Source organism: Homo sapiens, chromosome 6 (genome assembly GCF_000001405.40).
Source record: "Homo sapiens chromosome 6, GRCh38.p14 Primary Assembly".
Lineage (NCBI taxonomy): Eukaryota > Metazoa > Chordata > Mammalia > Primates > Hominidae > Homo > Homo sapiens.
The window spans coordinates 158,889,796-158,906,987 of record NC_000006.12 but is presented as its reverse complement, the minus strand read 5'-3'; the positions used below and the strand labels follow the sequence as shown (position 1 = coordinate 158,906,987).

Sequence of the window (17,192 nt, the reverse complement as noted above, 5' to 3'; positions counted from 1 at the left end):
TATTATCATCAGATTTAAAATTTTAGCCAAGCTGAAGGGTGTGAAACGGTATTTCACTATGGTTTTAATGTCCATTTTCCTGATTACTAGTAACTTTTTCTATGTTGATTTACTATTTTGGTTTTTCCTTTAGCGAATTGCCTGTCTTTCCTATCGGGTTGTTTGTCTTTTTAATAGTAGGTCTCCATATATTTTGGATACTTTATAAAATCTACTACTAATATTTAATGGGCAAAATATGTTGCATATATCTTGTGTTAGTCCATTTGTTCTTTTAAGAACACCTGAGACTGGGTGATTTATAAAGAAAAGAAGTGTGTCTGGGCCAATGGTTTTGCAGGCTATACATGCATGGCACCAACATCTGCTCAGCTTCTGGTGAGGCCTCAGGAAGCTTACAGTCATGGCGGAAGGTGAAGGAGGAGCAGGCAATATCACATGGCAAGAGCAGGAGCAAGAAAAATGGTGGGGGTGGGTTCAACACTCTTAAACAACCAGATCTCACATGAACTCAGAGTGAGAACTCACTTATCACCAAGAGGATGATGCTAAACCATTCACGAGAGAACCGCCCCCATGATCCAGTCACCTCCCACCAGGCCCCACCTCCAACATAGGAATCGCATTTCAACCTGAGATTTGGTGGGAAAAAGACATTCAAACTATATGATACCTTCTCGGAGTCGATAGCTTATTTTTTTACTCTTTGTGTCTTTTGAGCACAGTTTTAAAATTTAATATCAGTGAGGTTATCAATCTAATTGTTATTTATACTTTTTGTGACTTATAAGAAATCTTTCCCTAACCTAAGGTCATAAGCATTTTCTTCTAAAAGTTGGAAACTTTTCTCTTTCCTGTTTAGATCTTCAGCCGACCCTGGAATTGATTTTTGTTTATAATGTGAACATTCAGCCTTATTTTTTTTCCCAGATGAAAAACCAATAATCTGGACACCATTCTTTCCCCACTGATCTTCCATGACCCTCTGATGTTTGTCAATTTCTATACAGGCATGGGCACTTTTCTGTGCTTTCTGCTCTAAACCTTTTATCTATTTTTCTGTGCCTTCATCAGTACCACTCTGAATTATTAGACCTTTATAATAAGTAGTTACACCTGGTAGAGTAAACCCAAACGTTGTGCTTCTTCGAAACTAGGTATTCTTGCCTATGTTTTTCTACTGAAATGTAAAACCAGCTTGTCAAGGTCCAAGAAAAATCCTGTTTGAATTTTAATTAGAATTGCAATTCAATTGCAATTGAATTCAGATTGATTTAGAGAACTGATATCTTTATGAAATTGTGTCTTCCTATCTACTTGCCTGGTATATATTTTTTCATCCTCTTTCATCATTTTGTTATCTCTTATAAATAGCATACAGGTAGACTTGTCAAAAATCAACCTGAAAATCTCTTCATCTCAGCATTTTGCAGATGTTACTCTTCCACTGACTTCTTGCTTCCATTGTTAATGTTGAGAAATCTGCTGTTAATCTTACTGTTGTGCCTTCATAAGTCATTTGTCTCTTCCTTGTGATTGCCCATAGTTCTCTTTTACTTCAGTGACCTCGGTATCCCTATAATGTGTTAAGGTGTTCATTTGTTTTACTTATTCAGCTTGGGATTCGCTATTACTTCTGAATCTAAGGATATGTAACTTTCAGCAATTCTGAAAAACTCTCTGACATTATCTTGCTGAAAATCACCTTTTACCTGTTCTTTCTGTTCTCTCCTTATGAAATTTTTATTAGAAGCAGGTTAGATTCCCTCATTCTATCTTCCATGTCTCTTAACTCCTGCTATTTTCCCATCATTTTGTCTCTCCATGCTGTGTTCTAGAAAATTTTTTCAGCTTTAATCCAGTTAATTCCATATCAATTCTTTCTTTAGCTATGTCAAATCTACTATTCATTCATTGGTTTGTTGGGGTTTTAAAATTTTTTTTTTCGTAGAAGTTCTATTTAGTGCTTTTTAAAATCTGCCTAAAACTGGTCTGTGCTATTATTAGAGGTTAGGATAGTACTTACTCTTGTGAAGGGTATGGGTCATGACTGGAAGGAAACATGGGGGCAGGGGACTTGGGGATGCTAGTAATGTTTTGGGTTTTTTTATGGGTGCTAGTTAGATGTGTTCCAATTGTGAAAATCCATCAAGCTATATGCTTATAATTTGTATATTTTTTGCATGTATATGATTACATTATATAATATCTCTTGCTCTTTTCTTGTATTTTTAAATGTAATCAAACATTTTAGGTATATTTGTTTTATATAACACATTTGATAAATCCATTATCTTAAGTTCTTAGGAGTTCTTGCTGACTCTTATGGTAGCTTGTTTCTTCATGTATTCTTTTTTAATTTGGAGTGAAAGTTTATGTTCAGCTAGGGCTTATCTGTGGGAATTCTATAAGGCCTAGGTTGAGACTATGTCCCTCCAGGAAGGATCTGCATTGCTTCTGTCAGACGTCCAGAATTGCAACCAACTCGGGATCATAGAATTAACTTCTAAAACCACTTGGTGTAGACTCAAATCCCAGATCCAAAACCCCTAAGAGTAAAGATGTGGAGTTACACATCCATGGAAGCTGCTTTTTTTCTCCACCCAGGGCACAGGCAAAGATAAGTTTTTTTGTTATTTCTCTTTGCTAAAAGTCAGATTTTGTTTCTTTTATTCAATCCATTCTTTTCCTGAGGATGTAGCTTTTTGAGTGTCTTGGTACTATGTGGAGTTCTCAGTTTCAAATCCCTAATTTGCAACCCCTTCACTGCCGCCAAGGCATTATCTACCAGGCACAGATGGCCAGTTAAGCATCCAGGTCATCAAGACTGACAAATATCCTAGGCACAGCAGTGGCTTCAGTATTAGTTTACAACTCCAGTTTCGTTCCATTGTGACCACTGGGAATTTCCTTGGTATTCTTCTGATCTGCTTTAAGTATGTAAAAACGTATTTGTTACATTTAAGCTAGGATTTTGAGGTATTTTACATTTGGTTTATTTTCACTTTTGTTGTTGTTTGTCTGTTGTGATGGTAGCAGAGATTCCATAACAGTTAGTAGCTTAGTGTGTCTTGGGAGCAGGCACAGAGCACTGGTTTTTGCTGTGAAGCTCTAGCAGACCTAGCAAGGAACAGTCTAATATCTAGAATGAAGCTGCCTGGAGCAGAAGTAGCAGCTTTCCTGAGCCACTAGTTCTAGGGTGTTGTTCTCAGAGTCATTCTTGGAAGCCCAGCATAGATCCTGTTCCTCCGGCCCTTTCAGTGATTTTGTAAAAAGCTAATTTCCTTTGACAAAGCTCCTTCTCCTTAAAATAAGAAGAGTGGTTTCTGTTACCTCCAACTAAACCCTGCCTTACACAGACATCAAAAGTCTAAAGACAAAAGAAATGATTAATAAATATGACAGGTTTTAACCAAATTTGTCATGGAATAAATACAAATTACAACAAGATTTTTTTAAAGTTTTTCCATCTGTTATTTTTAGAAGAGATATTTCCACTTATAACATTTGCAAAATTCAAAATATAATAACCAGGCCGGGAGCACTGGTTCACACCTGTAATCCCAGCACTTTGGGAGGCCTAGGTGGACGGATCACCTGAGGTCAGGAGTTCGAGACCAGCCTGACCAACATGGTGAAACCTCATCGCTACTAAAAATACAAAAATTAGCCAGGGGTGGTGGTGGGTGCCTGTAATCCTAGCTACTTGGGAAGCTGAGGCAGGAGAATTGCTTGAACCCCGGAGGCGGAGGTTTCAGTGAGCCAAGATCATGGCATCGCACTCCAGCCTGGGCAACAGGAGCGAAAATCCATCTCAAAAAAATATATATATATATATGTATACACACACACACACACACACACACACACACACATAAAATAACCAGTGATGGTAAAAACTTGAGGAAGCAGAGACACTCTCATCCACTGCTGTCAATAAAATTAGCACAAGCTTTCTCAATAACAAAGTTTTAAATAGGCATACGACCTTTGACCTAGTGATTCTATTCCCAAAAGTTTATTCTAAAGGAATAATCAAGGGTGTGTAGTAAGACTTAATGGTAAGAATGTTCAGTGAATTACTGTCTATAATTTTTTTAATGAAGTTAACTCATGTCTTACTTGTGCCTGCTGGTATAACAAAATATCACAGGCAGGGTACATTATAAATAATATAAATTGGCAGGGCATGATGGCTCACACCTGTAATCCCAGCACTTTGAGAGGCCAAGGCAGGCGGATCACTTGAGGTCAGGAGTTTGAGACCAGCCTGACCAACATGATGAAACTCCATCTCTACTAAAAATACAAAATTAGCCAGGTGTAGTGGCACGTGCCTGTAATCCCAGCTACTCAGGAGGCTGAGGCAGGAGAATCACTTGAACCCATGAGGCAGAGACTGCAGTGAGCCAAGATTGCGCCATTGCACTCCAGCCTGGGCAAAAAGAGCAAAACTCTGTCTCAAAAAAAGAAAAAAGAAAAAATAATAATATAAGTTGACTTCTCATAGTTCTGGTGTCTGGGAAGTCTAAGATCAAGGCACCAGCAGATGCCAAGATGGCACCTTGCTGCTGCGTCCTCACATGGTTGAAGGGACAAAGGCTGTATCTTCATATGGTGTAAAGGGAAAAAGGGCAAAGGGGCCCTTGAGCTTCTTTGATAAGGGCACTAATCCCACTCATGAGAGCAGAGCACTCATGACTTAATCACTTCCCCAAAAGCCCCACCTCTTAAACCTATCCCATTGGGTATTAGCTTTTAGTGTATCAACTTTGGAGGGACACAAACATTCAAACCATAGCCCCTCACATTGAACAGCTGAAGGCTGGTCAAATACAGTATGGCACATGCATAAAATGCAAAATTATGCAGACTTTAAAAAATCTATAGTAGAGAAGGTAGAGCACAATTCATGCCCTTGCTGGAACATCAAATTTTAACAACTGTCTGCTTGCAAAAAAGCACCGTCACAAGAACCAAAAGTCAGGTAAGCGATCACAGTACCTGGTTTTAACCTCATATCGCTAAAAGGGCCATTGAAGAGGCTCAGAGAGACAGTCTTGAATCACTGACGCCACCCCTCTCCCACCCCCGGCAGCAGCCATATGGAACAGAGAGATGATCTGTGCACTTTGGGAAAGGGAGAGCACAGCAACTAGGGGACTTCACACTGAACTCAGTGCTGCCATGTCACAGAAGAGAATAAAGCTGCGCTGGACTCAGCCAGTGCCTGTGCATGGAGGGAACATTTGCACCAGCCCTAGCCAGGGGGGAACTGCCCATCCCAACGGCTGGAACCTGAGTTTCTCGGCAGGCTCCACCACCGTGGGCTGAAGTGCTCTGTGCTCCTAGGTACCACCTAGGCCACAGTGAGGTAGAGCAACAAGCAGGCTCCTGGAGTCTCCAAGTCCAAGCCTAGGCGCTTGGACATTTCTGGACCTGCCCTGGGCCAGAGGGGTACCCACTGCCCTGAAGGGTGAGTCCCAGGCCTGGTAACATTCACCACAAGCTGACAGATGAGTCCTTGGGCTTTAGGTGAACATCAGCGGTTGCCTGGCAGAACCCACTGTGGACCAGTGGTGGTGGTGGCCACATGGAGAGGCTCCTCTCCCTGTGGAAAGGGCAGGGAAACGTGAGAAGGACTTTGTATTGTGGTTTGAGTGCCAGCTTAGCCACAGTAGACTAGAACATCAAGTAAATTGCTAAGGTTTTTTATTGCTATCCCTGGCTCCCAGACAGCATCTCTGGACATGCCCAGGGCCTGGGGGAACTCGCTGCCCTGAAGGGAAGGGTCTTGGGAAGGCCCGGTGCTGTGCTGACTTCAGGTCTGACCCAGTGCAGTCCCAGTGGTGATGGCCACGGGGGTGCTTGCATCACCACACTCCCAATTCCAAGTGGCTCATCACAGAGTGAGAAACCCATGTGTTTGGCAAAAAATAAGGGAAAAGAAGAAGAGTCTCTGCCTGGTAATCCAGAGAATTTTTCTGGATTTTATCCAGGACCACCAAGGTGGGATCTTTCTGAGTCTGCAAAAACAACTACATTATTGGGCTTGGGGCCTAAGTCCCTTCAAATAACTGGGAAGCCTTCCCAAGGAGGATGGGCACAAACAAGCCCAGATTGTGAAGACTACAATAAATACCTAATTCTCCAATGCAGACACCAACGAACATCTGCAAGCATCTGCACCATCCAGGAAAACACAACCTCCCCACATGAACTATGTAAGTCAGCAGGGACCAATCCTGAATAAACAGAGAAATATGACCTTAAAGACAGAATTCAAAATAGCTGTTTTGAGGAAACAAAGAAATTCAAAATAACACAGAGAAGGAATTCAGAATTCTATCAGATAAATTTAACAAAGAGAATGAAATAATTTAAAAGAATCGAGAAATTCTAGAGTTGAAAAATGCAATTGACATGCTGAAGAATGCGTCCGTCTCTTAATAGCAGAATTGATCAAGCAGAAGAATTAGTGAGCTTGAAGACAGGCTATTTGAAAATACACAGTCAGATAACACAGAGACAAAAGAAAACAGAATAAAAGGCCAGTTGCAGTGGCTCCTGCCTGTAATCCCAGCACTTTGGGAGGCCGAGGTGGGCGGATCATGAGGTCAAGAGTTTGAGACTAGCCTGGCCAACATGGTGAAACTCCATCTCTACTAAAAATACAAAAATTAGCCGGGGGCATGGTGGCACATGCCTGTAGTTCCAGCTACTCCGGAGGCTGAGGCAGGGGGATCGCTTGAACCTGGGAGGCGGAGGTTGCAGTGAGCTGAGATCGTGCCACTGCACTCCAGCCTGGGTGACAGAGTGAGACTCTGTCTCAAAAAAAAAAAAAAGAATAAAAACAATGAGGCATGCCTACCAGATCTAGAAAATAGCCTCAAAAGGGCAAATCTGTTATAGGCCTTGAAGAGGAGGTAGAGGAAGAGCTAGTGGTAGAATGTTTATTCAAAGGGATAGTATCAGAGAACTTCCCAAACCTACAGAAAGAACATTCAAATACAAGAAGGTTACAGAACACCAAGCAGATTTAACCAAAAGAAGACTACTTCAAGGTATTTAATAATCTAACTCCCAAAGATCAAGGATAAAGAAAGGATCCTAAAAGAAGCAAGAAAAACAAACAAACAACAACTACAAAAAAAAAAACAGTAACATACAGTGGAGCTCCAGTCTGGCAGCAGACTTTTCAGTGGAAACATTACAGGTCAGGGGAGAATGGCATGACATATTTAAAGTGCTAAAGGAAAAAAAAATTTTTTTTTTTGAGATGGAGTCTCACTGTGTTGCCCAGGCTGGAGTGCAGTGGTGCGATCTCGGCTCACTGCCAGCTCCACCTCCCAGGTTCACGCCATTCTCCTGCCTCAGCCTCCCGAGTAGCTGAGACTACAGACACCCGCCACCACGCCCGGCTAATTTTTTTTTTGTATTTTTTTTTAGTAGAGACGGGGTTTCGCCATGTTAGCCAGGATGGTCTCAATCTCCTGACCTCGTGATCTGCCCACCTCGGCCTCCCAAAGTGCTGGGATTACAGGCATGAGCCACTGCACCTGGCCAGGAAAAATTTTTTATAATAGTATATCCAGTGAAAATATCCTTCGAGCATGAAGGAGAAGTAAAGACATTCACAGACAAACAAAAGCTGAGGGATTACATCAACACCATACTTGTCCTGTAACAAATGCTAAAGGGATTTCTTCAATCAAAAAAGACATTAATGAGCAAAAGGAATCATCTGAAGGTACAAAACTCACTGGGAATAGTAGGCACATAGAAAAACAGAATAATATAACGCTGAAATTGTGATGCATAAACTACTCATCTTAAGTAGAAAGACCAAATGATGAACCAATCAAAAATAACTACAACTTTTCAAGGCATAGACAGTACAATAAGCCATAAAGGAAAATAACAAAAAGTTAAAAAGCAGGGGGATGGCCAGGCATGGGGGCTCACACCTGTAATCCCAGCACTTTGGGAGGCCGAGGCAGGCAGATCTCGATGTCAGGAGGTCGAGACCAGCCTGGACAACACAGTGAAACCCCATCTCTACTAAAAATACAAAAAGTAGCCAGGTATGGTGGCGGGCACCTGTAATCCTAGTTACTCAGGAGGCTGAGGCAGGAGAATCATTTGAACCCAGAAGGCAGAAGTTGCAGCAAGCCAAGATCGCAGCACCGCACACCAGCCTGGGCAACCGTGCAAGACTCTGTCTCAAAAAAAAAAAAAAAAAAAAAGCAGGGGGATGAAGTTAAACTGTAGAGTTTTTCTTTTTTTTTTTTTGAGATGGAGTCTCGCTCTGTCACCCAGGCTGGAATGCAGTGGCATGATCTCGGCTCACTGCAACCTCCACCTCCCAGGTTCAAGCGATTCTCCAGCCTCAGCCTCCTGAGTAGCTGGGATTACAGGCACATGCCACCACACCTGGCTAATTTTTGTATTTTTAGTAGAGACGAAGTTTCACCATGTTGGCCAGGATGGTCTTGAACTCCTGACCTCGTGATCCACCCACCTCAGCCTCCCAAAGTGATGGGATTACAGGCGTGAGCCACCGTGCCCAGCCTAAACTGTAGAGTTTATATTAGTATTTATTTGCATGTTTGTTTATGCAGTAAGTGTTGTCATCAGTTTAAAATAATGGGCTATAAGATAGTATTTGCAAGCCTCATGGTAACTTCAAATCAAAAAACATACAATGGATATACAAAAAGTAAAAAGCAAAAAAATGAAGCACATCACCAGAGAAAATCACCTGCACTAAAAGAAAGACAGGAAGGAAAGAAGGAAGAGAAGATGGCAAAACAACCAGAAAACAAATAACAAAATGGTAGGAGTAAATCCCTACTTATCAATAATAATATTGAATTTTTTTTTTTTTTGAGGCGGTTGGATTACCTGAGGTCAGGAGTTGGAGACCAGCCTGGCCAACATGGCGAAACCCCCATCTCTACTTAAAAAAAATACAAAAAATTAGCCGGGCATGGTGGCAGGTGCCTGTAATCCCAGCTACTCAGGAGGCTGAGGCAGGAGAATCGCTTGAGCCCAGGAGGTGGAGGTTGCAGTGAGCCGAGATCATGCCATTGCACTCCAGCCTGGGTGACAAAAATGAAACTCCATCTCAAATAAATAAATAAATAAATAAGAATAAAAGATATACTCTAGAATATGGTGGAATTATGGCAGATTTTTATTTTTGCTTGTCTGTATTTTCTAAACGCTTTAGAACAATTCTGTATCACTTTTGCAATAAGAAAAATAAAATGTTTTGAGTTTCACAGTACTTAAACTACATGCCCTAGTAAGAAGGGCACAGTACTCAACAGTTCCCAACATACCATGTTCCATCTTCATCTCTGGTCAACCTGCCCTGGTCTTAGGTGATTTCAGGTCAACCCAATTCACAATCATCTATGATGATCTTAGGTAATGGATCACTTTAAGACTGTGCAAAAGACATTATTTTGCTGGGAGTTTATTTCTTCATAACACATAACAAATGACTAAAGAGGTAGCCAAGAAAGAAAACATGCCCGGGCACATACATGAGCAGAGTGTGCTGGATTCTCTGCAGCACTGCACATCAGGCAGGCCCTGGGCACAGAGCTGTGAAGGAGGGAGCGGGACATCAGGCTGTCAGGGCCTCGGCTTTTCATGCTGCTCTTCTCTTTCCACACTAGTTTCCAAGAAAGGCTCTGTAGACTCTTTTTTTTTCAGTCGGAGTCTGGCTCTGCTGCCTAGGCTAGAGTGCAGTGACGTGATCTCAGCTCATTGCGGCCTCCGCCTCCCGGGTTCATGCAATTCTCTGCCTCAGCTTCCCGAGTAGCTGGGATTACAGGCGCCCGCCACCGTGCCCGGCTAATTTTTGTATTTTTAGTAGCGACGGGGTTTCACCATGTTGGCCAGGTTGGTCTTGAACTACTGACCTCGTGATCCACCTGCCTTGGCCTCCCAGAGTGGTTTTTTTTTCTGAGATGGAGTCTTGCTGTGTCACCCAGGCTGGAGTGCAGTGGCTCAATCTCGCCTCACTGCAACCGCCACCTCCCAGGTTCAAGCGATTCTCCTGCCTCAGCCTCCTGAGTAGCTGGGATTACAGGCGCCTGCCACCACGCCTGGCTAATTTGTATAGGCTAGTCACTGCTTCTCTTTCCCTATTCCTGCTTCAGATGGCACATGACTGTCGCCACCATTTAAAAATCATATCAACATTGATTGGACTCCATTCTATACTCAGCTTGGTGCCCAAGGTTGCTGTGACCAAGTGCTACCAAAGAGAAAATTCGAAGTGGCCTGGGATGACCCCAGGAGGCTTCTCTGGGAGAAGTGGGCTTACCAAGCTCTGGATAGAAGCAAGTAGTTGGGACAGGCAGGGAGATGGCTTGCATAAGGGCTCAGAGGCAGGACTATGTTGAAACCATCTGGCTTGGGCAGAGAATCTGAGATGAGACCTCCTCCCCAGAAGCTCAGGATGTATTTATTAGAAGGACGGATAGGATGGTAAAACATGGAAGAGTGAGCTGATTAATTTGGGTGTCGAGTTGAGGAAATGGTCTGAGCAGCCCAGAGATATGCTGAAAATGTACATTAGAAAAATCTATCTGTCTGTACAGGATGGGTAAGGAAGGGTGTGGCGGTGATGAGAAAGCTAGGCCGAAGCCCACTACCCAACAGAGAAAGAACTTAGGGAGGCAGCCGTAGAAACAGACACAGGGAAATAAAAATCACCAGATTTTAGGACCGGGCGCAGTGGCTCACGCCTGTAATCCCAGCACTTTGGGAGGCTGAGGCAGGCAGATCACCTGAGGTCAGGAGATCGAGACCATCCTGGGCAACATGACGAAACCCCATCTCTACTAAAACTATAAAAAGGAGCCAGGCATGGTGGTGGGCGCCTGTAATCACAGCTCCTCGGGAGGCTGAGGCAGGAGAATCACTTGAACTTGGGAGGTGGAAGTTGCAGTGAGCTGGGATCACGCCACTGCACTCCAACCTGGGCAACAGCAAGACTCCGTCAAAAAGAAAAAAAAAAAAACTCACTGGATTTTAGAGCCTAATTGCATGTGAAGGTCCAAATGAGGAAAGGATCACAGATGGTGCTGATGTCTCAACCTGAGGAGATTTGATTCACTTCCCTGCCCCTTCCTGTCCATTCACTCACTGAACACTGAGCGCTTACCATGCAGCAGGCCCCGTGAAAGAGCCAGAGAGAAATAAGATGGGTGAGAGAGAGCACCTGCCCACAAGAAGCCCATTGCTTAGTGCGAGATAAGGTGAAATCAACAGATGGCTATAAAAGGGGAGAATAATGCTAGCCCTAGGCCCAGGGGCTGCAGAGCGTGGAAGAGGGCTCTAATATGTTCTGACAAGCATTGCCATCTACGTTACCACCCCTTCCCCACACCGGCTCCCTCTGCCAAGGCTTTAAAGAGAGGCAAATGACTCTAGAAAATCCCCACAGGGCTGGGGCAGAACTTCCAGGCCCTGTGAGGAGAGCCCTGTAGATGAGGAGGAGCTCCAAGAAGCTTGTCTCCCTCTCATGAGCATGAGGTGTGGGGATGGACCCCAGCAGTACCAGGATGCCACGTATTCCATCAGGTCTCTTTTTAACTTCTTACCTATCTCTCCTCCCACTACTCTGCAGGTAGTGCTGAAATCCTGGATGTTGGAGCTGGAAACGGTAATTCAGTACACACTCCCTTATTTTGCAGAGGAAGAAACTCCCCGGGCAGTGTTCCTCGTTCTTCATACCTCTCCACCTGTTCTGCCAACAAAATTGTGCAGGGTCATTAGAAAGCTAAGTGACAAATACATAATAACGTGTCAATGAAGTCACAGAATGGTGTTACAAGCTGGTAATGACTTAATGTGTTTTTCCTATTAGGGTCGTTTATAGTTCATTACCAAAAGTTTTTTGTTTTGTTTTTGAGATGGGGGTCTTGCTCTTTCACTCAAGCTGGAATGCAGTGACATGATCACAGCTCACTGCAGCCTTGACCTCCTGGGCTCAAGTGATCCTCCCACCTTAGCCTCCTGAGTAGCTAGGACCACAGACACGTGCCACCATGCCTGGCTAATTTTTTTTTTTTTTTTTTTTTTGTAGAGACGGGGGTCTCATCATGTTGCCCAAGCTGCTCTCAAGCTCCTGGGCTCAAGCAATTCTCCTGTCTTGGCCTCCCAAAGTGCTACAATTACAGGCATGAGCTACCACACCTGGCCTCAATAACTTTTTTAAAAAATTTATTTTTATGTATTTAGGGGTGAAATTGCAGGTTTCTTCCATGCATATATTGGGTAGTTTTACTAAAAGTTATTAAAAGCCTTTAACAAAAAACAGATGAAGGAATGTATCTCCCCAGGTGGAGTGTATTAGGTAAGAGAAGGTCTACAATAGTCCAGATCAAAGAGCACTGTTTTTTCAGTAGTCTCACCAAAGAAGTATCTGTTTTTAATACGCGCACAGGCATTTATAGTTTAGGAGCATCTGCCTATCCCTTGCCTACAAAAGACTGCAGCCTACAAAAGACTACACTGACGCCTTTGGAAATGCAGAGATGGCATTCCTAAGGTATGAGGTCAGCAGGACTTGTTTTCTGAGGATGCCGTAAAGAAACTGCAAAACCTCTAGTTGCTCTCAGTGCTTGTTATACATTAATTATAATGCACTAGCATGCTAAAAGACACTCTCACTGGCACCATGACAGTTTACAAATGCCATGGCAAACCCAGAAGTTACTTTATATGGTTTAAAAGGGGAGGAACCAGGCTGGGTGTGGTGGCTCATGCCTGTAATCCCAGCACCTTGGGAGGCCGAGGTGGGCAGATTACTTGAGTCTAGGAGTTCGAGACCAGCCTGGACAATATGGCAAAACCTTGTCTCTACTAAAAATATAAAAATTAATTAGGCATATGCCTGTAGTCCCAGCTACACAGGCGGCTGAGTTGGGAGGATCACTTGAGCCCAGGAGGCAGAGGTTGCAGTGAGCTGAGATCGTGCCACTGCACTCCATCCTGGGTGACAGAGCAAGACCTTGGCACTCTCTCTCCCTTTCTGAGATCTCTCACACACACACAGGAATTACATTGATGTTAATAGGGGAAAAAAAACCTCTTATCCATTAAGAAAAAAAAAAAATTGCGGGGCACAGTGGCTCATACCTGTAATCCCAGCACTTTGGGAGGCCGAGGCAGGCGGATCACCTGAGGTCGGGAGTTTGAGGCCAGCCTGACCAACATGGAGAAACCTCGTCTCTACTAAAAATACAAAATTAGCCGGGCATGGTGGCACATGCCTGTAATCCCAGCTAGTGGGGAGGCTGAGGCAGGAGAATTGCTTGAACCCGGGAGGTGGAGGTTGCGGTGAGCTGGGATAGCGCCATTGCACTCCAGCCTGGGCAACGAGAGTGAAACTCTGTCTCAAAAACAAACAAACAAACAAACAAAAAAACAGGAGGCCAGGCACGGTGGCTCACACCTGTAATCCCAGCACTTTGGGAGGCCGAGGCAGGCAGATCACGAGGTCAGGAGATCGAGACCATCCTGGCCAACATGGTGAAACCCTGTCTCTACTAAAAATACAAAAAAAAAAATTAGCCGGGCATGGTGGCAGGCGCCTGTAGTCCCAGCTATTCGGGAGGCTGAGGAAGGAGAATGGCGTGAACCTGGGAGGCGGAGCTTGCAGTGAGCCGAGATTGCTGCCACTGCACTCCAGCCTGGGCGACAGAGCGAGACTCCATCTCAAAAAATAATAATAATAATAATTAATTCTTAGACCAGCCACAGAACCTAGAAATGAAGAAGGAAGCAATTTTTCCTCCTGTACAAAAGAAAGGTCTAAAGATTGGACAGGAAGAAGTATATTTATTTGTAAATAACGTGACTACAAACTTAGAAAATATAAAATAAACCACAATGAGAATTAATAAATATATTCAGCAAAGTCATAGGCTACAAGGTCAGTACACAAACATCAATAATATTACCATATATCAACAAAAAAAATTTTTTTTGAGACATAGTTTTGCTCTTGTCATCCAGGCTAGAGTGCAATGGCACGATCTTAGCTCACTGCAACCTCCGCCTCCCGAGTTCAAGCGATTCTCCTGCCTCAGCCTCCCAAGTAGCTGGGATTACAGGTGCCCACCACCACGCCCGGCTAATTTTTGTATTTTCAGTAGAGAAGGGGTTTCACCATGTTGGCCAGGCTAGTCTCGAACTCCTGACTTCAGATGATCCACCTGCCTCGGCCTCCCAAAGTACCGGGATTACAGGCATGATCCATAGTGCCTGGCCTCAAAAAATTTTTTAAATGAAAAAAATTTTAATACCACGTATAATATCAAACATATAAATATCTAGGAACAAATTATAATACCTTAAAAAAAAAAAACCTAAGAAAAAAATGTGCCCAATCCCTATGCTAAACATTGCAAAACATTTCTGAGAGAAATGAAAGCCCTAAATGAATAGAGATATTCAAACACAAAGGAGGAAGAATAAAAAGATCTACGTGGTGATAAGGTTTCTACATTCCACTTGACATGACAAAATACTAATTCTAATTAGACTGGGAAATGTTAAGTATGTACATTGTAATCTCTAGAGCAACCACTAAAACATACATACATAACTAAAACTCTAGAGTTCAATTCAGATGGAAAACTAAAAATGTTCAAATAATCTAAACCACGGCAGGAAAGGGATAATAAAGAAATAAAGACTAGAGGAAATAAACCGAAAAGAAATAAAATAAAAATCTGAAAAGGAAATAAAAATCTGAATCCAAACCTATCAATAACTACATTCAACGTAAATGATATAAACCAGGGGTCAGTAAAAGTCCAGGTAGTAAATATTTTTGAACTTGTCAGCCATATGGTCTCTGTTGCAACCACACAACTCTGCTTTTGGAGCAGAAAAGTAGCCACAGAAAATACATAAATGAGCCGGGCATGGTGTCTGTAATCCCAACACTTTGGGAGGCCGAGGCAGGCCGATCACTTGAGGTCAGTAGTCCAAGACCAGCCTGGCCAACATGGTCAAACCCTATCTCTACTAAAAATACAAAAATTAGCCAGGCATGGTGGTGGGCACCTGTAATTCCAGCTACTTAGGAGGCTGAGGCAGGAGAATCACCTGAATCCAGGAGGCGGAGGGTGTAGTGAGCCGAGATCGAGCCACTGCACTCCAGCCTGGGCAACAAAGTGAGACTCCGTCTCAAAAAAGAAAATAGATAAATGAGCATGGCTATGTTTTAATAAAACTTTATTTACAAGACAGGCAGCTGGCCAGATTCGACCCACATAGTTTGCTGACCCTGATCTAAACATACCAAGTGAAAGAGATTTTCAGAGTGAATTAAAAAAAAAAGTACCGAACTATATGCTGTCTACAAAACCAAACAATACACACACAATCCACCTTAAATATAATTATACAGGGAGTTTAAAAATAAAAGGATGGAGGCTGGGCGCGGTGGCTCACGCCTGGTATCCCAGCACTTTGGAAGGCCGAGGCGGGCGTATCACGAGGTCAGGAGATCCAGACCATCCTGGCTAACACGGTGAAACCCCGTCTCTACTAAAAATACAAAAACAAAATTAGCCGGATGTGGCGGCGGGCGCCTGTAGTCCCAGCTACTCGGGAGGCTGAGGCAGGAGAATGGCATGAACCTGGGAGGCGGAAGTTGCAGTGAGCTGAGACCGCGCCACTGCACTCCAGCCTTGGCGACAGAGCGAGACTCCGTCTCAAAATAAATAAATAAATAAATAAATAAATAAATAAATAAAATAGGATGGAAACAGACATGTCATACAAACACTAACCAAGAGAAAGTGGAGTAGCTATGTTAATATCAGACAAAGGAGACTTCAGAGCAAAAGAAATGACCAGTGATAAAGAGAGATGTTATTGTTGAAAGATATTCTCCAAAAGTTCTCACATTTCTAAATGTTTTATGAGCAGAGGCAATGACTGCCTTGGATCTAGAGTATCTTTTCAAGGATATCTATATAGTCAACAGCACTGGAAATAGAAATAGGCCTCTCTCTGGAGCGAAGGGCGGGTTTGTTTTCCATCCAGCATAATAAAGACAACTTCTCCCTTTGGGGAAAAACTCAGGAAGGCTCAGCTCCCTTTTTTTTTTGAGACGGGGTCTTGCTCTGTCACTAGGCTGGAGTACAGTAGTGGCATGATCTCGGGTCACTGCAACCTCCGCCTCCCAGGTTCAAGCGATTCTCCTGCCTCAGCCTCCTGAGTAGCTAGGACTACAGGCATGCGCCACCACACCTGGCTAATTTTTTGTATTTTTTAGTAGAGACGGGGTTTCACCCTGTTGGCCAGGATGATCTTGAACTCCTGACCTCGTAATCCACCCACCTTGGACTCCCAAAGTGCTGGGATTACAGGCGTGAGCCACTGCACCCGGCCCATCTCCCATTCTTAAAGATGTGGATTCCTAACCTCAGAGATCCTCTCCCACGGTCCCACAGTGCATCCTCCGACATGTGCAGGTGCCATCTGGTCCCTTTCACATCATCCTTTTGAAAATGAAGCTCAAGGAGCTGATGCAGACGTGACTACCATGGCCACTGCTCTTGTAGGTGATAAGGTCCTGTGTCATTGTTCCCGCAATCTATGTCTTTTGTTAGCATCTATGAAACTGGCAGACTGACTTATTAGCTTACAAGCAGGGTAAAATGCCACACCCTTCACTGTTCATGCAAATGATAAAAGGGTCACCAAGATGACAAAGCCATCCTAAATGTGTGTGCACTTAACAGAGCTTCAAAACATCTGAAGAAGGCCGGGGACAGTGGCTCACAACTGTAATCCAGCAATTTAGGAGGCCAAGGCAGGAGGATTGCTTGAGCCTAGGAGTTCGAGACCAACCTGGGCAGCATAGTGAGACTCTGTCTCTACAAATAATAAAAAAAATTAGCCAGGCATGGTGGCAGACACCTGTGGTCCCAGCTACTCAGGAAGCTGAGGTAAGAGGATGGCTTGAGCCCCAGAGGTCAGGGCTACAGTGAGTCGTGATCACACCACTGCACTCCAGCCTGAGTGACAGAGCAAAAACTTAAATAAAAATAAAAATAAAAAATCTGAAGACAAACTGATAAAACTGAAATGAGAAATGGATAAATCCACAATTATAAGTGGAGAGCTTAACCCTCCTCTCAGTAATCAAT

The 17,192-nt window shown here is 43.5% G+C and overlaps 1 long non-coding RNA gene across 7 annotated transcripts in view, besides 2 other annotated features; it reads right to left on the bottom strand.

Moving 5' to 3' along the window:
• The window catches only part of LINC02901 (long intergenic non-protein coding RNA 2901), a 40,540-nt gene that overhangs the window by 3,366 nt on the left and 19,982 nt on the right, over positions 1–17,192 (bottom strand). For 5 of the 7 annotated variants that reach the window (NR_160980.1, NR_160978.1, NR_160982.1 and 2 more), the window contains one exon: positions 11,622–11,767. This is a non-coding gene — a long non-coding RNA (long intergenic non-protein coding RNA 2901). The remainder of the gene's footprint in view (positions 1–11,621; positions 11,768–17,192) is intronic. The other 2 variants (NR_160977.1, NR_160976.1) reach the window with 1 other exon arrangement.
• Positions 2,885–3,085: a silencer, noted in NCBI's record as "peak6276 fragment used in MPRA reporter construct". NCBI's record gives its function as "represses an SCP1 promoter by STARR-seq MPRAs in K562 erythroleukemia cells {active_cell/tissue: K562}" and the evidence as "EXISTENCE:reporter gene assay evidence [ECO:0000049][PMID:32103011]".
• Positions 12,335–13,035: an enhancer, noted in NCBI's record as "H3K27ac-H3K4me1 hESC enhancer chr6:159314985-159315685 (GRCh37/hg19 assembly coordinates)". NCBI's record gives its function as "activates a minimal SCP1, AML or CMV promoter by ChIP-STARR-seq in naive and primed H9 embryonic stem cells {active_cell/tissue: H9 hESC(naive and primed)}" and the evidence as "EXISTENCE:reporter gene assay evidence [ECO:0000049][PMID:30033119]".